The sequence below is a fragment of the Homo sapiens genome, chromosome 3, assembly GCF_000001405.40.
Source record: "Homo sapiens chromosome 3, GRCh38.p14 Primary Assembly".
In the NCBI taxonomy this organism is placed as follows: Eukaryota; Metazoa; Chordata; class Mammalia; order Primates; family Hominidae; genus Homo; species Homo sapiens.
The window spans coordinates 74,875,722-74,900,469 of record NC_000003.12 but is presented as its reverse complement, the minus strand read 5'-3'; the positions used below and the strand labels follow the sequence as shown (position 1 = coordinate 74,900,469).

The window sequence follows — 24,748 nt, the reverse complement described above, 5'->3', positions numbered from 1 at the left end:
ACAGCCTTCGCTCGCTCTCGGCGCCTCCTCTGCCTGGGCTCCCACTTTGGCGGCACTTGAGGAGCCCTTCAGCCCGCCGCTGCACTGTGGGATCCCTTTTCTGGGCTGGCCAAGGCCGAAGCCGGCTCCCTCAGCTTGCGGGGAGTTGTGGAGGGAGAGGCGCCAGCGAGAACCGGGGCTGCGCGCGGTGCTTACGGGCCAGCGCGAGTTCCGGGTGGGCGTGGGCTCGGCGGACCCCGCACTCGGAGCCGCCGGCGGGCCCCACCGGCCCAGGGCAGTGAGGGGCTTAGCACCTGGGCCAGCAGCTGCTGTGCTCAATCTCTCGCAGGGCCTTAGCTGCCTTCCCGCGGGGCAGGGCTCGGCACCTGCAGCCTGCCATGCCTGAGCCTCCCCCCACCTCCGTGGGCTCCTGTGCGGCCCTAGCCTCCCCAACGAGCGCCGCCCCCTGCTCCAGGGCGCCCAGTCCCATCGACCACCCAAGGGCTGAGGAGTGCGGGGCGCACGGCTCCTGACTGGCAGGCAGCTCCACCTGCAGCCCCCATGCAGGATCCACTGAGTGAAGCCAGCTGAGCTCCTGAGTCTGGTGGAGACGTGGAGAACCTTTATGTCTAGCTAAGGGATTGTAAATACACCAATCGGCACTCTGTATCTAGCTCAAGGTTTGTAAACACACCAATCAGCACCCTGTGTCTAGCTCAGGGTTTGTGAATGCACCAATGGACACTCTGTATCTAGCTACTGTGGTGAGGACTTGGAGAACCTTTGTGTCCAGACTCTGTATCTGCCTACTGTTGTGTGGAGGTGGAGAACCTCTTTGTCTAGCTCAGGGATTGTAAAGGCACCAATCAGTGCCCTGTCAAAACCAACCACTGGGATCTACCAATCAGCAGGATGTGGGTGGGGCCAGATAAGAGAATAAAAGCAGGCTGCCCCAACCAGCAGTGGCAACCCGCTCGGGTCCCCTTCTGCGCTGTGGACGCTTTGTTCTTTTGTTCTTTGCAATAAATCTTGCTGCTGCTCACTCTTTGGGTCCACACTGCCTTTATGAGCTGTAACACTCACCGCGAAGGTCTGCAGCTTCACTCCTGAAGCCAACGAGACCACGAACCCACCGGGAGGAACGAACAACTCCAGACGCGCCGCCTTAAGAGTTGTAACACTCACTGGGAAGGTCCGCAGCTTCACACTTAAGCCAGCGAGACCACGAACCCACCAGAAGGAAGAAACTCCGAACACATCCGAACATCAGAAGGAACAAACTCCGGACACGCCACCTTTAAGAACTGTAATACTCACCACGAGGGTCCGCGGCTTCATTTTTGAAGTCAGTGAGACCAAGAACCCACCAATTCTGGACACACTGGCATTGATTTTTATAGAGTGAATGCAAACAGGAAACCCAAAGCCTATCTTCTTCCTTTGTACAAAAATATTTGCAATAGAGACTTTCAGCAAGAAGCTGGCTAGTATATCCAAGTAAAATGAGATGTAAGCACAGTGTTTTACTGCGTTATATGGTAATCCTTCCACAAAAGTAAAAAGATCTACAATAGAAAAAATCGCAGTTTTTGAAAGTTTTCTTTAATTGTATGCCTTATGTCATTTTTATGTTTCCCACATTATAAACCAGTCTATATATATATTACAAAAATGTATACTTCATACTTATGAGTAAATACAGTCAGTTCTACAAATTCCATTTTACAGCAGCAATAAATGCCTGCATGATTTATGGAGTGTATATGAAGTAAGTAAACCCCAAAGAAGTCACTTAAAATCCCCTATTCAAACCTGTATTTTTAAAAGACTGCAGTTGCCTATTAATATTCTTATCTTAATTTTATTTATTTATTTATTTTTTTTTGCTGTAGGAAATTGAATCAGAAAGTAGATGGTCTTACGAGCTTTTTCTCCTTGGCCAAAACCAACATCATATACAACATACATACAAAAGTCAACTCGCGGTACCATCTGTAAGAAAAGAGCTTAGGGAGAAGTAAAAAGTTTTGATTTCCCAATGCCGTTATTGAGCTGCAGCTGTAGAAGTAACCCTGAGCCTTTGTAAAGCTACCCATCTTGCTTTTGTTTCCAGGTATTGGCATAGCCTACTATTCAAGGGAGGTGAACTTAGTATCATGAATGCAAAGTTGTATTTTATGGCTCTCTCTTGCCTTTCAGCAAGATTAAGAATCAACAAACTTCCATATATGCTAAGAGATATAGTAGACTGGCATAGCCACATGGTGCTTCATCACAGATTTTGCATACTTACTCTAAGAATTATCAACCAAACAATATGTGGGAGTTTGTTTTGTAATTTAATTTTAAAAGATATTGAACAGAGGGTTGCTCTACTTCTCCCTTATCCCTAGCCTTCAATCTGTTGCCATGTCTGGTATATTTTACCTCTAAAATAACTTCTCCCTGCTTCCACTGCTGCTATACTCGAAATGTTGAAATCACTCCCTATACTAGTTTGCTAGGGCTGCCATAACAAAGTACCATAGACGGGTCACTTCAACAATGAAAATTTATTTTCTAAGTTCTGGAGGCTAGAACTCCAACATCAAAGTGTCAGCAGATTTGGTTTCTTCTTCCTTCCTTGTCTTGCACCTGGCTGCCTTCTTGCTATGTCCTCACATGATCTTTCCTCTATGCCCGTGTGCCTTGGTGTACATTTTTGTGTGTCCAAATTTCCTCATCTTATAAAGACACTGATCAAATTGTATTAAGACCCACCCTAACAGCTTCATTTTAACTTAGTCACCTCTTTAAAGACCCTCTATCCAAATACAGTCACATCCTGAAGGACTGGAAATTAGGACTTCAATATGGGAACTGGGGAAACACAATTCAGCCCATAACACTCCCTACTTTTCTCTTTACTTCAAACCAGTTTTCCAATCACAGTTTTCTACTTTTGTCAAGTATGTCCTTAACCACATCATATGGTTTCCATCAATCAATCACTATTTCTGAAGAGACGTCCAAATTTATAGCCTGATTTTTGCCCTCTTATTTTCCAGCATATCTTTTCAGCCACAATACTGTTTTTACATTCTGATCTGCCAGACAACTAAAAGTATGGGTCGTCCCTCTGTCCAGGCAGAAACACCCTATCTCCTCTTTTTACCACTGTTCCAAACTCAAATGCAAAACTCTAATTTTTTAATCTTGGATAGTAGATATCTATTGACTTGAGAAACATCCATACCCCCATTTTTTTGTTAACAGTCTCCTGCTGTAATTCCACTCAAAATCCCTAGAGGGTGTTTGTGGAACTTCCCCACCCTCTTGTCTTAATCTATGCAGCTAAGGTGGGTTAACACCAACCATCTGATCTCACATGTACACATATAACCCAGAGCTGGCCAATGACTATATTTGAACTCCCAGGTAGGTATTGTTGAAAGAACACGCATTATCTAATGATTTCTGGGATTTCTTCTGGGACTCCAGGGAATAAGAAGCTTTTTAAGTTAGGGTTGTTAAATAAGTAAAAATAAACCTGAGGCTACTAGCACTTTGCCACCCAGCAGGATAAATAAAAACAAATTAAACTCCAGGAATAGCTTATTTAAACTTCAAAATCTCAGTGATTCAGAGCAATTTTAAGTGCTGCCAAAGGGAATATATTCTTTATAAAATTATGACTAACGGCAGACTTCTTATCAGAACCAGAGAGACAATAGAGTTATTTTATTAAGGAAAAATAACTGTCAGTTTAGGATTTTATATTGAGATAAAGCAGAAGTAGGGAATAAAGTTAAAAATTTGTCGTACATATGATAGCCAAGATAATTTACTACCTTTAAATCTAAAAGAAAGAGCTACTAAAGGATATGTTTTATCCAGAGGAAGTTAAAGGAAAGAATAGAAGACAAAATAGTGAGGAAAAAAAGACTCCAGTAAAATGTGTTCATAAATCTAATGAATGTAGAATTAAAATTATATATATTTATAAAGGTATGGTTGTGATGAGAAGGTCACTCTGAATTAAAGTGTGTTGGAGTGTTATTTTATGCAGAAAGATGACAGAGATAATATAACAATAATCATCATGTTTCTGAAAATGTGTTATTAACTATATATAGAAAAAATCATATATTGCTGATGTGACTGTAAACTGATACATCCACTTGGGAACATCATTTGGCGATATCTGCTAATGCTGAACATAGGCATATCCTATGATCTAGAAATTTCTCAGTATATACCTGACATAAATGCACACATTTTTCAAATCAAAGAAATGCATACTAATATTCATAGCAGAATTTTTAATATCCAGCAACTGGAAATAAGCCTAATCTTCATCCATAGTCAAACAGATACATGAATTGTGGCATATTTATACAATGGAATAATATATATCAATGATAATAAACTCAAAAACTTGCATGAATCTCACAGACATTACGTTAAGCAAACAAAGACAGACACTCAAGAGCACGTGCTAAAAGATTCTATGTATATGAAGTTCAAGGTTAGGTAAGCCTAATATATGGGGTTAGAAGTCAGGAAAATGTATCCTCGTGGGGATAGGTAGAAACTAGAAGGGAGCACAAAATAGCTTCTGGGGTTCTAGGAATGTTACACAGATATGCTTACTTTGTGAAATTTAACAGCTATTTTAATTATTGTAAATGTATGATACGAATCAGTGTGCTTTACATTAAAATAGCAAAAAAGTTATAAAAATAATTATTGAAATATGATAAAATCTGAAACTTCCAAGTCAGGTGAAGAATAAAAGGGTTTAGAAAACTTGATCAGTTCAATAGAAATCAGATAAATAAGCAAAGCAAAGAAAATATTTTGTAAAAGTTGATAATTGATTCACTTATAGAGAAAATATTTAGAGAACACTTCTTAGGTTCCTGGCACTGTTCTAAACTCTGAGATTATGGAATTGAATAAAACAGACAAAACTCCCTGCCATGGTGGAGTTTACATCCCAGTGAAGGGAAGACAAAGTAAGTAAATGAAAGATATAGTAAATTACATAGAGAAATTGCTATAAAGAAAAATATCAGAGGAAGGGGATAGAAAGTGCCAGCAGGAAGGAAAATCTATAATAGAGTGGCTAGGGAAAAGTTCACTGAGAAGATGGCATTATAAAAATACTTGAAGGGGCGAAGTTTGGAATTCTCTCCAAAAAATAGCTGGTAAAATAAACAGCAAATATTCTGAATTGGTACGTGGTGATCTGGGCAAGAAAAAAAGACAGAGAAGTCTATGTGGCTGAGCAGTGAGGAGGGAGAAAGTGAGGGAGAGTGAGAATGAAAACTGGATCATGCAGGGCCTTGTGAAGGGACTGGCTGAGAGAATTCATGCAGGCAGTAAGGTGGAAGATGACTCTAAGGCTTTTTTGTCTAAGGAAATGAGAAGTGGAGTTACCATGAACTGAGTATATAAGTAATAACAACAAATCTAAATGCGTTAAACTCATTTGTTAAAAGAAAGAGTTGATGGATTTACTCATTGAACACATAGCAATACAATATTATATGAATGTGTATATATTTCTTTTCCTTTTTTGTTTTGTTTTGTTTTGTTTGTTTCTTTTTTGTTTGTTTTTGAGTCGGGGTCTCACTGTATCACTCAGGCTGGATGGAGCGCAGTGGCGCAATCATGACTCACTCACTACAGCCTTTACTTCCCAGGCTCAAGTGATCCACTCACTACAGCCTTCCCAAGCAGCTGGGACCACAGGTGCTCGCCGTCATGCCCAGCAGATTTTTAAACATTTTTTGTACAGATGGAGTCTCGCCATGTTTCCTGGGCTGGTCTCAAAGCCCTGGGCTCAAGCAGTGCACCCACCTCAGACTCCCAAAGTGCTGGGATTACAGGTGTAAGCCATCATACCCAGCTTGAATGTGTTTACCTGTCTTCATTAAGATAATGTGTATTTAAGTACTTCGAGGTCTCGCCATGTTGCCTAGGCTGGTCTCAAAGCCCTGGGCTCAAGCAATGCACCCACCTCAGACTCCCAAAGTGCTGGGATTACAGGCGTAAGCCATCATGCCCAGCTTGAATGTGTATACCTGTCTTCAATGAGATAATGTGTGTTTAAGTACTTCTTTCCTTTAAATATCAAGTTTCTTGCGATTTTCTAGGAAGATCTCTTCAGGTAAAGAGATACTTTATGATGCTTTAATATGTGCAAAAATGTGGTATGTCAATTAGGAAAGAAGAAGAATCTAAAGGAAATTTTGGGGGCAAACTTAATTTTCTGCTCACTTTATATGATTTTTATATGCTTACAAGTCACACGGTACATAAATTCCAAGTTAGTAAGTCCTCAGTAAATGTTTAATAACAGTATTATTATTATTATGATGATTACTTGTAGGTATAGATGCTTAGTCTCCTTACATATGCTAAAATGGCAAGTTTTTGCCTTTATTATATATTGTACTGAAACCCAGTACTAGATTTCAAGTAGGCATCTCCAGATGTATACCAAGAGAAGACCCAATCACTTTAGATCGACTGAGTTGACGTGTAGAAAAAGATTTTGAAACAACGGAATTAAAAACCCTGAACTTATTCTTTTTCCTTTTTCAGGACTCAAGAGAAGATATTTTGCTCATTGCATTTTTCAGTTCACTGCCTTGAAACGGCCTTTCTTTTATGCCCCATTCGCCTCTCTCATTACCTTTCCCTTTCCCTAGGTAACCATTTTATTTGTGATTTGTGTCTCACATTTGCATGTTTTCTTATGAAGTCTGTACTATTGTTTTTTTTTCCCTCTGCATGTATATTTACATGAATGGGATTGTGCCATAGATTTCATTCTGTTTTGCATTTTCTCATTCACAACTCTTTATGAGGTCTTTCCATGTTTATGTGGCTATATACCCCATTTCTTTTAACTGTTGCTTAGGATATGTTGTAAATACAGTCAGGGTCCTAAAAGTGTCCTCTGTCCTTCCCATGTCTGTGCACACCTGTGAACTTCCAAATGTTTACACCCACATTTCATTGCCAGAGGACCTCCAGAGACCATAATGCTGCCCATATCATGCCCCAAAAGCTAAGGACTTTATGCCTCCTGAGAGAAGTCCTCAACCTATGATTGGCCATTGTATAACTTCAGCTCCATCTCCTCTCAACTGTATAGTGTGCTAAGCCAGCCTCCAGATGTTCCCCAGAGAAGGGAGCTCCAGTAGCTCGTTGTTGAATTGAGAATACGTTCTTCTTTTTTTTTTTTTTTTTTTTTTTGAGATGGAGTCTCACTCTGTTGCCCAGGCTGGAGTGCAGTGGCGTGATCTCGGCTCACTGCAACCTCCGCTCCTCCAGGTTTAAGCAGTGCTCTGCCTCAGCCTCCAGAGTAGCTCGGATTACAGGTGCGTGCCACCAAGCCCGGTTAATTTTTTGTATTTTTAGTAGAGATGGGGTTTCACCATCTTGGGCAGGCTGGTCTTGAACTCCTGACCTCGTGATCCACCTGCCTCGGTCTCCCAAAGTGCTGGGATTACAGGCGTGAGCCACTGCGCCAGACCGATAATACATTCTTAATTAGCTGCTGTCTTCCCTTTCGTTTGGCACTTCCCACCCTCCTACCTGTTACCTGTACATCCCAAATACAGTATCTTTGTCACATGGTCTGTTTCTAGGTTATCCCAAACTAAAAGAGTATTCCATTCACTTTATTATACTAACCAATTACCCTAGTGAGGGTCTGCAGCTTACTTTCTACTCACTACACTATAATAACCATCCTCCTACAAATCCCCTTATGGACCTATAAGGAAATGTCTCTGGGTTACTTACATAGTGCTAGAATTGTTGGGTCATATGGTTCGTATGGAATTTGACTACAGACTACCAGATTTCTCTCCAAAATTATGTATATGGTTTTCTAGATCCTTCCATCTTGGTCAGCCCTATCTCACCCATTTCATAAGTGTTAGAGGTTTATAGTTTCTTTTGTTTGAATTTCTCTACTTACTAATGAATTCATGATCTCTGCATAAGCTTTGGGCCTCCTGTTCTGTGCATTTCCTGCACAGCTTGTTTGCCTATTTTTCTAATTACATTCCATTTAGGATTTTCTTACATTTTAGAAATCCATTCCTTGTCAAATGTAGACATGGCAAGTATTGTCTCCCTATCTGCCATCTGTCAGCTTTGTGGATGGTAACGTGTTTTGAACAGAAATCTTTAATTTGGATTAATTTAATGAATCTATTATTCTTTCTGTAATATATATATTATATATATATAATATATAATATATATTATATATATACACATAATATATATAATATATATAATATATATATACATAATATATATATAATATATATAATATATATATACATAATATATATATATAATATATATATACATAATATATATATATATAATATATATATTGAATATGTTGTTTGAGTATACCCTTGCCACTCCTAGGTCATAAAGATACTCTCCCACATTGCCCTCTATAATCTTTAGAGTTTTACTCTTAACATTTATATATTTTCTTCTGAATGTTCCCTTTGCTTGTGACTTAAAAAAATTCCCAGTATTTGTCAACTTATATCTTCACAGATTATTAGTCAACTCCATGTTATTAAAGGATAAATGCAAAAACAAAATAAATGGGAATTAATAGAAGCAGTACAATTAGTTCTCAAAACTTGAATGAGAGAAATTTTTGAATTACTCTATTCTCTGAAGGCCACAGTTTTGAGCTTTAGTTATGCTGAAACTACTAACCAGTATTATGGTTTTCCTGGTTTTGATCACCGATGCTGGGTGAATTATTCCCTTGAGGAGTAATTTTTTCTTTGGCAAATTTCGGGATCCTGGATTGCGCATTCTAACTATTTTATCTCTATTGCCTCAAATGCAAATCAGATCTCCTTCCAATATTCCTCTGAGCCAAAGGAAACTATGTCGAAACGTAAAATTGAGCTTTGTTTGCTATTGCTGTCATTGGATCAGTCCATCAGACCGGCTGGACTATGGAACTGCCTCAGAGAGCACAGGATTCCCAACTGTGCCTACACTGCTGCATTTTGCTGGGACTCTTGAGTGTCCTCCATTCCTGAACCCATAGTTCCAATGACAGGAAAAACAGACACAGCTCACTTTGTCGTAAGTCCAAGAGAAATATTAAGAGGGGAAGGCCATGTACAATTCAGCTCAGCAAGTTTCCACCGAGTGCCTCTTCCCAAATTGTACTATCTCTTAGAATTCTTGTATTCTAGGTCTAGTTTATCACTTATAAACACGAGTTTCCAAACATTAAGAATAATCATCAATAGATGCATCAGAAATTCTAGACCCTAAGCTTCAGAAGAGAAATTCTCTGTCTTATCTTCTCTTAATATACTTTCCAATGTGATGATCTCATAGACTTCCAAGATGACTCAGGGTTAAGAGGTCAGTATAAGACTAAAATACTGTGTTAAAATTGCATATGTGTGTGTATGTGCATTCGTTTGTATCCAAATGTAGTAAAATATGTGTCAATGGATATATGCTTGTATGTGTATGTATAAAGTGTGTGATAGTACATATACGTAAGTATATATGTATTATACATATATATATACACAGACACACACACATATATACACACACATATACCACTCTATCCCTAAGACCTAAGACAGACTCTGAAAAACAGTAGAAAGTGAATAAATATTTAATGAGTGAATGAACAAATGAATGAAAGAGACTGAAGCTGAATGCCTTTGAGTGATCTCTACAAGTCATGTAGGTGATAAAAGTACATAAGAAACAATTGTAAAGTTTACTTTGGCAGGCTGTAGAGCTCTGTATTCCTAACTCAAGCCCTGACTCAGCTGGCAAGATATTGTAAATAAATCAACTTAAAATTTTCTCTTTTTTCCCACTTAGGGAACACAGTAGTAAACAAAAACATTTATCAAATACAGAGTCATAAATATCTAGGTGGCTATATTTTGCATTAATGAGTCAATCCAACCTTATCATTATAATGCCTGAATAAGTTCAATAGAAGGGTAGAATTTATAAAAAGGCAAAAAATAGAGAAAAAAGGTATTGTAAATATAGATGAACAGTGTGTCCTTTTATAATTATATTTCTCACCAGGGCCATGTGAAAGACAAAAATATACAGGAAATACAAATCTCCAAAGTGTTCCAAAGGATAGTACATTACTATCACTTCCAATTCATCCTTCCAGCAAGGAATTACAGTGGCACAACTGGCTTCCTTCTATGATGTTAATTACTTAATTTAATACTTTCTGTGAAATCTTCTTATTTCTTCTTCTTTGTAGATCATTTTGATTATACATAAATTGAAATTTAGAATTATTAAGGTGGGCATAGGCATTAATATGGTATTTAAGAAATGTAAAGAATTATTCATTCTTTTCTATCCCTATCATGATATGGTGATCATTAACTCAAAGTTTATCTCAATTAATTAAATTTATTAATACTACTGGCTTAAACTACTTTTGCATGTGGAATTTCAGAAGACTATAAAATTTGAAATATCAGAATACTCTAGAATAAAGTATTAAGGTTAGTAATGAGGTAGAATTTCAAATTTATGAAAAGATAAGAAAAAAATGTGTGTGTGCATGTGTGCGTGTGTGTGTGTATGCACGCATGTGTAGGTGTATAAGAAAATAAAAAAACTGAGTACAAATATAATTTCTGAAAAGAAATATAGAAGACTGATTACTTCTAGGTCTTGAAATTGTACCAAAAAATAAAAATCACATAACCTTTCTTTTAATTTTCTGGGGTTTTTTTCTATTTTTTATAATAAATATTTACCATGGAATTAAGATAATATTTCTAAAATAATATGTGTAATCTTTAGTTCCAATATCTTTTGAAACTCTCAACTATCTCATTACAAAAATCACTTCGCTGATTTTGGTTTTTTGTTCTGTGATCACTTAAAAGTGAAATGACCCAAAGACAAAACATGGTGATAGAACATAATGAAGAAGAAAATAAACTGGAAAATAACCTTTGGTATAATGACAATAGATCCAATGTTCCTATTATTGGAATACCAGAAACAGAGAAGAAAGAGATTGGGGCTGAAAGAGTGTTGGAAGAAATAATGACTGAAAACTTTCCAAATTTGGTGAATGACAAACCTACAGACCTAAGAAACTGTGAACCCAATAAGAATAAATCTAAAAAAAAATCTATGCCATGAAACACTTAATTAAACTTTTAAAAATTAAAGATAAAAAAAGGGTCTCAAAAGCAGCCTGAGAGAAATTACACATTACTTTTAAGGGGGCACTAAATTGAATAGACATTAGATTTCTCATCTGAAACCATGAAGGCCAGAAGTGGCACAATATTTTTGAAGTGTAGAAAGAAAATAATTGTCAACAGTGAATTCTATATCTGTTGAACCTTATCAAATCTAAAATATTAAGAGAATTTTTGGCTGGCATACCTATCTTTAAAGACTAGTTGTTAGAGAAAGTTTTTCAAGCAGGAAGAATTTTTTTTTAAAGGAATCTTGGAATGTCAGGAAGGAAGAAGGAACAACAGAATGGAATTATGAGTACATACAATACACCATTTTTTCTTATGAGTTTTATAAATCATATTTTAGATTAAAAACATTATAATGCCCTCTGATATCTAAGACAATGATATTTAGAAACTAGGAGAGTAAAAGAGCTAAATGGAACTGCAACAGAATAAAACTTTATTAGACACAGTTAAAGCAGTGTGAGAGGAAAATTTATAGCACTAAGTCCTTATATTGGAAATGAGTCAGAATCAAAGTTTCAAATCAACAACCTAAGTTCCAACCTCAGGAAATTAGGAAAAGTAGATTAAATAAACCTAAAGCAAGGAGAAGAAAGGTATAATAAAGATAAGAGCAGCAGAAATCAATGGAAGAAAAAATAAGAAACCAATAAAGAACATCAATGAAGCAAAAAGCTGGTTCTTCAAAAACGTGATAAAATTGAGAAACTTCTAGTGTGAGTTATTAAAATAAAAAAAGACAACCAACATCAGAAATGAAGTAGGGACTATCGCTATGGCACATGCAGACATTAAACAGATAGTAATGGATTGCTACAAATAACTTTGTGCTTATGTATTTGACAACTTAGGAGAAATGGGAGACAATTTCTCAAAACCACAAACTACCAAAACTCAAACAAATTTAAAATAAACAATTTGAATATCCCCATAAGTTTCAGTCAAATTGAATTATTAATTTAAGAGCTTCTCCCAAAAGAAATATCCAAGACCAGATTGTGTCACTGGAGAGTTCTACCAAATATTTAAAGAATCAACATGAATTTTACACAATGTCTTCCAGAAAACAGAAGAAGAGAGCATTTTCCAGCTTATTGTATAAGACCAACATTGTCCTAATATTACCCTTTTGCCAGATCAGACAGTGGCATGCCAAAAATCAAAAACCAAAACCAACCAACCAAACAAAAAAACCCCTACAGACCAATATCCAATACCTCCACTGAAGTTAGGCTCCAAAATTTTCAACAGTACATAAGAAAACTAAATCCAACAATATGTAAAATGAATTACGCAGGTTGACCAAATAGGATTTATTCCAGGTAGGCAGGCTATTCAATATTCAAAAATTACTCAATTAAGTCTACTATATCAACAAACTGAAGAAGAAAACATATTTTCATATAAATTGACTCAAAAATTCAATACCTGTTCATGATAACAACTCTCAGAGAAATAGGACTAAAAGGAAACCTACTCAAGTTTCTAAGTGGCATCCATGAAAAACCTATACCTAACATTATGATTAATTGTGAAAGACTGAATGTTTCTTCCCTAAGATTGAGGGAAAGATGTCTGCTCTTATCATTATTATTCAACATAATGCTGGAAGTTCCAGCAAGAGCAATAGGCAAGATAAATAAATGAAAGCATATAAATTGTAAACAAAAAATCTATCTCTGTTTACAAAAGACATAAAAATCCTGAGTAATCTACCAAAAAGGTAAAATAACAACAAAAACCCTTATGAAACTAAGTGAGTTCAGCAAGGTCACAAGACACAAGATTAATGCACAAACTTAATCTCATTTCTATATACCAACAATGACATGCAGAAAATAAAATTGAAACAATATCAGTTGCATCACTTCCAAAAAATAAAATACTTAGTTATAAGCTCAGAAAACATATATTGGATCTGTATGCCAAAAATTAAAAAATGCTAATGAAAGAAATTGAAGAAGATCTAAAAAAATAAAGAGACATACTATGTTCATGGATTGGCAGACTCAACATAATAATGATGTTAGGCCAGGTGTGGTGGCTCACACCTGTAATCCCAGCACTTTGGGAGGCTGAGGCAGGTAGATCACAAGGTCAAGAGATTGAGACCATCCTGGCCAATACGGTGAAACCCCATCTGTACTAAAAATACAAAAATTAGTTGGGTGTGGTGGCACATGCCTGTAATCCCAGTTACTCAGGAGGCTGAGATAGGAGAATCACTTGAACCTGGGAGGTGGAGGTTCCAGTGAGCCGAGATCGTCCCATTGCACTCCTGCCTGGGCCACAAAAGTGAAACTCCATCTAAAAAAAAAAAAAGATGTTAGTTTACCCCAGATTGATCTATTAATTTAATCCAACTTTGATCAAAATCCCAGCAAGGTTTTTGTACACATAAACAAGCTTATTCTAAAATTTTTATGGATGTCATTGGTCCTAGAATAGCTAAAACCATCTAGACAAAGAATATAGATTAATGCTTACTATATAGCCACAGTAATCAAAACAGTGTAGTATTAGCCAAAGGATAGGCACATAGGGAGCCGGGCTAGGTAGCTCATGCCTGTAAACCCAGCACTTTGGGAGGCTGAAGTGGGCAGATCATGAGGCCAAGAGATCAAGACCATCCTGGCCAACATGGTGAAACCCTGTCTCTACTAAAAATACAAAAATTAGCAAGGCATGGTGGTGCATGCCTGTAGTCTCAGCTACTCAGGGGGCTGAGGCAGAAGAATCGCTTGAACCTGGGAGGCAGAGGTTGCAGTTAGCCGAGATAGTGCCACTGCACTCCATCCTGGCAAAGGAGCGAGACTCCGTTACCCCCTGCGAAATAAAAAAAATTAAAAAATTTAAAAAAAAAGACAGGCACATAGGCAATGGTACAGCATAGAGGATGAGAAATAGACACCCCCAAAAAAAAGGCTTGGCTGATTTTTTACAAAGTGCAAAAATCAACACAGAGAAAGGTTAGCCACTTTAACAAATGGTGGTAGAACATAGAACAGTAAGACAAACAAGCAAAACACAAACACAAAAGAAATCCATACCAAAAAAACCCTTTGAGTTCAGTGACACAATTTATACAAAAATGAACTCAAAATGGGTCATAGACTTAAATGTGAAACAAAATCTGAAAACTTTTAGAAATAAAAACACAGGAGCAAACTTTGGGATCTGGAGCTAGGCAGACAGTTATTGGACTTGACAACAAAATCATGATCCACAGAAGGAAAACTTGACAAATCTGATTTTATCAAAAATAAAAACACTTGCTTTGTGAAAGTCCACGTGAGGAAAATGAAATTACAAGCTACAAGATAGAAATAAATATTTTAAAACCACATAGCTGACAAAGGAATAATATCTAGAATATATAAAGAACTCTGAAAACTCAACAATACATAAATATTTAATTAGAAAATGGACAAAAGGCATTATAGACCAAAGAGGATATAAAATGGCAAAAAAGCAGGCACATGGAAATATGTTAAATATTTATTGGTCATTAGAGAAATACAAATGAACACCATAATGAGATATCACCACACATCTATAAGCATTATTAAAATGAGAATTACAACACCAAATGCTGATGAGGAAATGGTGAAACTGGATCATTCATACATCGCTTTTAGGACTGTGAAATGGTACAGACACTCTGGAAAGCAGTTTAGCAGTTTCTTAAATATTTAAACATGCAACTACCATATGACCCAGAATTTTATTCCTGTACATCTATCCTAGAGAAATGAAAACGTATGTTCCCACAAAAATTTGTGCGTGAATGTTCATAGAAGTTTTATTGTAACAGCCCAAAACTGGTATCAACCCAGATGTGCTTCAGAGTTGAATGGCTAGGGTGGGCGCTGTGGCTCACGCCTGTAATCTCAGCTACTCAGGAGGCTGAGGCTGGAGAATAGCTTGAACACAGGAGGCAGAGGTTGCTGTGAGCAGAGATCGCGCTGCTGCATTCCAGCCTGGGCAACAGACTCCATCTCAAAAACAAAAAGAAACTAACAAAAAAGAGTTGAATGGTTAAACAAAATTGTAATACTACTCAGCAATAAAAAGAAATACACTATCGATATACAGAACTACTTGAATGAATCTTTAGGAAATCATGTTGAGCAAAAACAAAACTCCAAATTGTTGTATACTACATAATTCCACTTATATTAAATTTTTGAAATGACAAAATTTTAGAAATGGAGGACAGACTAGTGGCAGATAGTTAGAAAGGGAGGTGGAGAAATTGGGGAAGAAGGGGAATGGGTGTGGCTCAAAAAGAATAGGAGGGATCCTTGTGGCACTGGAACCCCTCAGTATTTTAACCAGGGTGATGATACACGAACTTATACGAGTAATAAAATTGTGTAGAACTTCACACACACATTAAAGAGTAAACTTAGGAAAACTGAATAAGATCAGTGGATTGACTGATGTCAATATCCTGGTTGTGATATCATACTATAGCTCTAAAAAAGTTACCACTGGGGAAATTAGGCAAAGTGTACAAGCCTTCTCTTTACATTACTAACTTTTACAACTGCATGTAAATCTATAATTATCTTGAGTTTTTTTCCTTCTTTTTTTAATGGAGAGAACATCCTCAAAGATTTTCCTTCATGAAAATGTTAGCTAAAACGAAAATCCACACTTAATGCCATGAAATTGTCCTAAAATAATACTGGGTGTTTGTGTCTTCTTTCTTCTTTCATCCATTTTTATGACATGATGTGACACAATGATTAAGATGAGGGGATTTGAAGTTAGGCACACTTAGGACAAACTCCTCGGACTTCCACCAACTAGCAGTGTGATCTTTGGCTAGTCATTTAATGTCTCTTAGATTCTGATTCTTCCTTAATCTATACAAATCTCAGGCTTTTGGTGCCTCCAGACTATAAAGACCAAGCCCAAACAATTTTAGAAGGTCTTGAAGCTTCTGGGAGAATTAAGCTGAGGGAATTCTGGGATGGCATTGAAAGAAGGGTTCCTTATCTGAATGTATCCCATTTATAGCACTTTATTTTTTGTAAGTGTTTATTTTCACATATATGATCCAGTGATGGTTTTGAAATATGTCCACAAATTCTTTGACATTCTTGCCTCCAAAAGGTGGAGTCTAACTCTCTCCTTTTGAGGATTAGGTGAAAGTGAGGTATGTGACTTACAAGGGTAGGTCATTGAAGACATTCTTGCTTCTGTCTCTTCGATCACTCCCACTGGGGAGACCAGCTGACGTGTCATGAGGATGCTTAAGCAGCCATATGGAGAGACCCACATGGCAAGGTTCTGAAAATTCCTGCCAACAGCCAACACAGAAGTGAACATGTGACTAGCCATGAGAGTGAATTCTCAAGCCCCAGTCAAACCTTCAAATGACTGCAGCCTTGGCTGACCTCTAGATGGCAACCTCATGGAAGACTCCAAGCCAGAACCATCTAGCTAAACTCCTGAATTCCTGAGCTGCAGAAACTAAGTTTATTTATGTTTGTTGTTTGAAGCTGCTAAGATTGGAGGTAATTGATTATGCAGCAACAGATTGAATTCATAATCTAATTTTATTCTTTACACAGTTCAGAAATATTAAATAATTTTTTCATGGTACAGAGTTAGTAAAAGATAGACCCAACCAAATTCTGATGTTCCAATTTCAAATAAAGTGTCATGGGACGTCTTCCAGCTTGTATGATCAATCTTCAATTTAAAATCCTGAATCACTGTTTTAAAGAGAGACAAGTTGCTGTCAGCCTTGGGTGTGGTGGCACCCAAGAATAACAGCAACAGCCCTTCAGAGCCAGACAGAAATAGCCCTTACCCTGGATCCTGTGTTTTAAATGGTTCTTTTTTGTTCCAGTCTCATTCTGCATGCAGAAGCAACCCATGGATGCACACAAAGCCCTTCATGGTGCAGGACAGAGCTTGAGAGAAAAAGAGATATTTTAAATTATCTTAATATCATACAATCCTTGCCACTCTTACCATTGGAAAGCCATGAAATAATTTGAATAGAATGTGTGAACAGCTAAAATGAGGATGATTTTATTATTCATGAAACTTTAATATAAATACTTTATAATATGAATCTAAACATGGCCTGCAGCCACCCATGTTTCATCATGGGACTTCAAGGAGTTTTCAAGGAATTCAAGGAGCATTTAAAATTTGAATGTGGCATTCTAAGTCATTATGAAGGAATATTTATTAAGCTAAGAGCACAGAACATTACACAGGAAATTTTATTAGCTTTACTTTATAACTTTTAAATATTTAGAACTATGGTATGTGGCCTTCTTATTAGTATATGGTATAAGGGGCTCTTGCTTTTAGCCCCTCAAGTGACAAGATTAGGAAGCAGGCAACTACTGTTTTTCCCTCCATACAGGGACCAAGGAACCAACCTGAAATACTATAACTATGATAACCCTTCAGAAAACCCTTCTAGGGTTCTAGTCTATAATTCTAGGTCCAACAGAGGAAAGAAGGATGTGATCTTTTGAGTTCAAGAGCCTGCAGATCCAGTTACAATAAAAATCTTAAGATTACTGTGTATTGGGGACCATGTTAGGTGCTTTTCATGAATGACATTATGTAGTCCTCACAACAACTGTGTTGGTGAGGTGCAATTAGCCTCATTATGCAGATGAGAAAGCCAAGACTCAGAGGTATGTTCCAGATCCTTTAGCGAGAAAGAGACAGATTACAATTCTGTCTCATCCCAAGGCCAGTGCACATGACTACCATTCTTCACAGCAGCAGATCTACTTTGGAGGAATTTAGGTGTCACATTTCCCTGAGTTCTGGAATAGAGGAAAATCTCCTTTGAAAAGACCACAAGTAGAGTAGTCTTGGGAGACATTTGCACAAGGGTTTATCCCAAAAATCTATTCTAACTCTTAAGGGTTTATCAACTTAGCATATTAGTCACTACTGAATTTTTATGTTGTTATAAAAAATGTTATTTCTAAAATAACATCAAACCGAAAAGAAAGGAAAAAGTCAGTGAATAAGGCTTTGGGATATCAGAAGAAAGACATGAACCAAAAGTTGAATTTATAGGTATTAGAGGAAGGAAATCTTAAAGGAAAACATAAGGAAACTCCATGGGGACTATGAGTCTACAACCTAGTCTGACAGTTTTATGTTGCACCATAATTTAATATAATGGAGAAATTCAGGCTCTAAACTATTCATGTTAAAGTTTCATGAATAATAAAATCATCTTCATTTTAGTTGGTCACATATTCTATTCAAATTATTTTATGGCCTTCCAATGGTAAGAGTGGCAAAGATTGTATAATGTTAAGATAATTTAAAAGCAACTGCGTACGTTGCTTAATCTTTAAATAATTCTTATTTAGTGAGAATTGAAAAGCACTGATGAGTAAATGAAGGATGAAAGACATTTATAAAGGTATGAAACATCACTCAGAAATGATCATATTCTAGTTAACAATTCACATAACAATTTCAGCTTTAAAAGGAGTTCGCTGTATTGTTTAGTGCAATATTTTGTCTATTTAGGCAGAAAATGATAGATTTAGCACTACAATATTAGCAGTGTTTAAAAGTCCCAGCATTTCCATCTTAGAAGTACTTGCCCCAATCTTCCAAGAAAAAGGCTTATATTAATTTGCCATTGAACAAATGACACAGTCCTATAAAAGAAAGCCAAAACTTTTCCTTCCTAGCTTTGCTTTTCAAGTAGAATAATATTGTGTCATATCACCTAGTATTATTACTTACATAAAATTTTCTTCCAGGATGAAAATACAAGAGTGAATGATAAGTTTCCTTCTGAGCTGGCATCCTTACCATGGAAGGTAAACCTCTAAAACACTGTAAAATCACAAACTGCCTAATATAATAAATTTCTTTTCCAGATAGCATTATCTTTCACTACTTATTTCTTCCATCTTTCATCCATAGAGTTTTACATTATTCTCACGTTGTATATAGTGAGACAGTCACAGGGCAAAACCTAAACAATCTTTGCCCTTGACAAATCCATTAACAAAAAAAAAAAAAGAAAGAAAGAAAGAAAGAAAGAAAGAAAGAAAGAGAAAGAAAGAAAGAAAGAAAGACCCTGGCTTTAAGCTGGTCGTTATTTGTTTTCTTGGATATAATGCACTTTTGAGTTTCAACCCACAACCAGGCTTACTTGACTTTACATTTTTTGTCCATTTTATACAGTATTGCTTTTAGACAGAAAGTATGTAAAAGAAACTCACAAGCTTAAAATTATATATACAAATCCTTCTGACTGTGCCAAACTATTCTGAGAAAATCTTTTTCTCTCAAAATCCCAAAGTACATTTTAAAAATTCTCATTTGCCCTTCATAACCTCCTCATCTGTCTGTCTAAAATGCCTTCTCTTTAAATAACTTAACAACACCTGCCTCCAACATTAATATACATATTACCAAACATAAATATATACATACTTACGCATATTCATATGCAACACATACACATGTACATTTGCAATTTATAAATGGCAAACTCACCTTCTCATTTACAAGTGCAACTCATTCTAAATTTATTTTCAGTTTATATCAACAAAGTTTTTTTAAATATAAACTCTTTTCAGTATGCCAAACTATCCTGAGAAAGTATTTTTCTCTCAAAATCCCAAAGTAAATTTAAAAATTCTCATTTGTCCTTAATAATTCCCTTGTCTGTCCAAAACCCTTCTATTTAAATAATTTAACATGTACTTCCAACATATACATACTACCAAACATAAATACTTACATATTATGCATATCCATATACTACACACACACATATATACATATGCAATTCATAACTGGCAAACTCACCTTCTCATTTCCAAGTGCACACAGCTCATTCCAAATTTATTTTCAGTTTACATCAACAAACGTTTGGGTTTTTTTTTTAATCTAAAGCCAAACAAAGCACAAGACAATAAATTTAGAATCTCCTGCTTATATTCCAAAAAATTATCCTGTGAAAGATGGCAATGAGGTTTTACTCCCCCAGAGAAAGAAACCAATCTCCAAAATAATGTCCTAGGAAAGAGCTTTTCCCTGAGATTTTCTTCTTTATTTTTTATAAAGGAAAAAATACAAATACAGAAGGCATTTGAGCAAATCAAATGGTAAGAGGCTTCTACATTAGCCACACTTTTTCTGTTCAGAAAAGAAAAACAGTTTTATCATATGCTGTAAATTCTGCAGAGTATTAAAAAGGGATTTAGTCACTCTCATTTTTTTTTCTAAATCTCTTTCCCACAACTAAGATTATTTTTAGTGAACATGAAAAGGGGAAAATAATTCTTGAAATCAAAATAACTGAATTTGTATGTTTAAGATAAATTCAAAGCCCTAACAATTTCCTCTAATATTAATTTACATTAGGAAACATCAGCCAATTAATCTCAAGTGAAATTTCAAACATCAGTTGTGGACAATGTTTTTCATGTTTGTGGATAGGTAATATGATGCAGATCTTCCAACAAATAGCTACCTTTAAGTCTTCCCTAAGATCATGAGAGAAAGAGATGATATTTCATTTCATTATCATAAAATCCTGAAAATATTCAGAAATGCTCTTTTTCTAACTCTCCACTACTACGGCTCTAGGATTAACAAGTTCTGGGCTTTGGAGTAAGACAATCTGAGTTCAAGATCCAGTTCTTGGCTGAGTGACAGAGAGCAAATTATTTAACACTCTAGACTTGCTTCCTTCTCTAGCAGACAGTCATTACAGGGTGTACAGCAGACTAAATGATATATGTAAAACACTTCATACCATTCATTTCTAGCTCACAGTACCTGTCAATAAATATCACTCAGGACTAGTGTTGCTGAGGTACTGACACTTCTTCCTATCAGATACACAAAGATTCCATTAAATGCCACCTAAAGGATGTACTTCTGGATAGGTCAAACAAGGACATTAATTGAAAAGGAAAAGGAAACATGTACACTTCCACCATGTTCGACTTGGGATTATTCTTGGCATTCACAACAACTGTGCAAAGTAGGCAATAATGCAACATTATTTTATACAAGAAAATAAAAGCAAAAATGGTCGCCCAGCTTAGTGAAAGGCAGAGCTTGGCCTCCATCTCCAAATCTCACGGGCTTTCATTTCCGTCAGGCTACAAACATATACATTTAACTTGAGAAGAAGGAAGAAAGAGCTATCAGTCCCTTCTTTTCACCTGATTCATAGGTGTGAAATAATTCTGTTCCAGGGTTTGTCTTCATAAATTTTGTGATGTGAGTGGCGCTTGACAAATCCCTCTGACAAACTCACAGGAAATTAGTGTCTTGAAGGGTCTCTTAGGTTCCTGTTAAATGTAAGTACTCCTTGAAGAAATTTTATTACACAACCTTCAGGGAGAGTTAAGTTTGACTGCTATCTGAGTGTGAGTGGCTGGCAGAACGGAAGGCAGAATTGGAAAATCAGGGATTAGAGATCAAACTGGAAATGGAAGAGAGGTCCCAGATGGAGGCAGTGAAGTATCACATGAGAAGACAATTCCTTCTGTTTCCAAAGGTTTTGCATCTGAGAGTTCAACCAACCATGGATCAAAAATATTTGAAATAAAACAATAAAAAATGACAGTTGACAATAAAAGTACAATTTAAAAAACAATACAGTATGACATCTATTTACATAGCATTCACATTGTATTAGACATTATAAGTAATCTAGCGATGATTTAAAGTAAAAGGGAGAATATGTATAGGTTATATGCAAATACTGTGCCATTTTTATATCAGGAACTTGAGCATCTGAGGATTTTGATATCCACAGGGATTTTGGAACCAATACCCATAAATACCAACGGATGATTGTATTGAGTATTTATTAGGCACAGATAAATAATATGTACTTGATAATCCATCTTTAACATGGCCATAGTAGCTTATTAGCTACTGCTTATTATTACTAACATCATGCTCTGTGGGAAAATTAGTAAAGACATTACACTGGCTTAGAGAGTAAGAATTCTGCCTTCTAGTCACAGTTCTGCCATTTAGTACCAATGTGGCATGGGGAAAATTACTTTACAGCTCTGCCTCAGTTTCCTCATTTGTAATAATTGTCTTTTTTCCTCACATGGTTGTTATGAAAAAAAGTGAGCTGGGCTACCCTCTTTGGGTCCCCTCCCTTTGTATGGGAGCTCTGTTTTCACTCTATTAAATCTTGCAACTGCACTCTGTTCTGGTCCGTGTTTGCTATGGCTCAAGCTGAGCTTTTCCTCACCATCCACCACTGCTGTTTGCTGCCCTTGCAGACCCGCTGCTGACTTCCATCCCTCCGGATCCGGCAGGGTGTCCGCTGTGCTCCTGATCCAGCGAAGGCACCCATTGCCACTACCGATTGGGCTACAGGCTTGCCATTGTTCCTGCATGGCTAAGTGCCCAGGTTGGTCCCAGTCGAGCCAAACACTAGTCACTGGGTTCCACGGTTCTCTTCCATGACCCACGGCTTCTAATAGAGCTGTAACACTCACCACATTGCCCAAGATTCCATTCATTGGAATCCGTGAGGCCAAGAACCCCAGGTCAGAGAATACGAGGCTTGCCGCCATCTTGGAAGCTGACTGCCACCATCTTGGGAGCTCTGGGAGCAAGGACCCCCTGGTAACATTTGGCGACCATGAAGGGACCTCCAAAGTGATGGGAAATGTTCCCCCCAAGGCAAAAATGCCCCTAAGATCTATTCTGGAGAATTGGGTCAAATCTGACCCTCAGATGTTACAAAACAAACAACTTATATTCTTCTGCAGCACTGCCTGGTCATGATATCCTCGTGGGGGATCTCCTTCCAAGGGGGAGAAACCTGGCCTCCTGAGGGAAGTATAAATTATAACACCATCTTACAGCTAGACCTCTTTTGTAGAAAAGAAGGCAAATAGAGTGAAGTGCCATATGTACAAATTTTCCTTTCATTAAGAGACAACTCACAGTTATGTAAAAAGTGTGATTTATGCCCTACAGGAAGCCCTCAGAGTTTACCTCCCTACCCGGGCATCCCCCCGACTCCTTCCCCAATTAATAAGGATGCCCCTTCAACCAAAATGGTCCAAAAGGAGATAGACAAAGGGGTAAACAATGAACCAAAGAGTGCCAATATTCCCTGATTATGCCACCTCCAAGTGGTGGGAGGAGGAGAATTCGGCCCAGCCAGAGTGCATGTACCTTTTTCTCTCTCAGACTTGAAGCAAATTAAAATAGACCTAGGTAAATTCTCATATAACCCTGATGGCTATATTGATGTTTTACAAGGGTTAGGGCAATCCTTTGATCTGACATGGAGAGATATAATGTTACTGCTAAATCAGACACTAACCCCAAATGAGAGAAGTGCCGCCATAACTGCAGCCCGAGAGTTTGGTGATCTCTAGTATCTCAGTCAGGTCAATTATAGGATAAAAACAGAGGAAAGAGAATGATTCCCCACAGGCAGCAGGCAGTTCTCAGTGTAGACTCTCACTGGGACACAGAATCAGAACATGGAGACTGGTGCCAAAGACATTTGCTAACTTGCGTGCTAGAAGTACTAAGGAAAACTAGGAAGAAGCCTATGAATTATTCAATGATGTCCACTATAACACAGGGAAAGGAAGAAAATACTACCGCCTTTCTGGAGAGACTAAGGGAGGCATTGAGAAAGCATACCTCTCTGTCACCTGACTCTATTGAAGGCCAACTAAACTTAAAGGATAAGTTTATCACTCAGTCAGCTGCAGACATTAGAAAAAAACTTCAAAAGTCTGCCTTAGGCCCAGAGCAAAACTTAGAAACCCCATTGAACTTGGCAACCTCGGTTTTTTTAATAGAGATAGGGAGGAGCAGGCAGAACAAGACAAATGGGATAAAAAAACAGAAGGCCACTGCTTTAGTCATGGCCCTCAGACAAGTGGACTTCGGAGGCTCTGGGAAAGGTAAAAGCTGGGCAAATCGAATGCCTAATAGGTCTTGCTTCCAGTGTGGTCTAAAAGGACACTTTAAAAAAGATTGTCCAAGTAGAAATGAGCCGCCCCCTCGTCCATGCCCCTTATGTCAAGGGAATTACTGGAAGGCCCACTGCCCAAGGGGATGAAGTTCCTCTGAGTCAGAAGCCACTAACCAGATGATCCAGCAGCAGGACTGAGGGTGCCTGGGGCAAGTGCCAGCCCATGCCATCACCCTCACAGAGCCCCAAGTATGCTTGACCATTGAGGGCCAGGAGGTTAACTGTCTCCTGGACCCTGGTGCAGCCTTCTCAATCTTACTCTCCTGTCCTGGACAACTGTCCTCCTGATCTGTCACTATCTAAGGGGTCCTAGGACAGCCAGTCACTAGTTGCTTCTCTTGTCTACTAAATTGTGACTGGGGAACTTTACTCTTTTCACATGCTTTTCTAATTATGCCTGAAAGCCCCACTCCCTTGTTAGGGAGAGATATTCTAGCAAAAACAGGGGCCATTATACACCTGAACATAGGAGAAGAAACACCCGTTTGTT

The 24,748-nt window shown here is 37.4% G+C and overlaps 1 long non-coding RNA gene across 4 annotated transcripts in view; it reads right to left on the bottom strand.

Annotated features, from left to right (window-relative positions):
- Nucleotides 1-14,733: 14,733 nt before the first annotated feature.
- The window catches only part of LOC105377167 (uncharacterized), a 60,528-nt gene continuing 50,513 nt past the window's right edge, over nt 14,734-24,748 (bottom strand). For 2 of the 4 annotated variants that reach the window (XR_001740758.1, XR_940971.1), the window contains 3 exons: nt 20,085-20,165; nt 17,080-17,182; nt 16,804-16,981 (listed from right to left, as the gene is read on the bottom strand). This is a non-coding gene — a long non-coding RNA (uncharacterized LOC105377167). Of the gene's footprint in view, nt 16,982-17,079; nt 17,183-20,084; nt 20,166-24,748 lie in introns of all 4 variants that reach the window. The other 2 variants (XR_940970.3, XR_940972.2) reach the window with 2 other exon arrangements.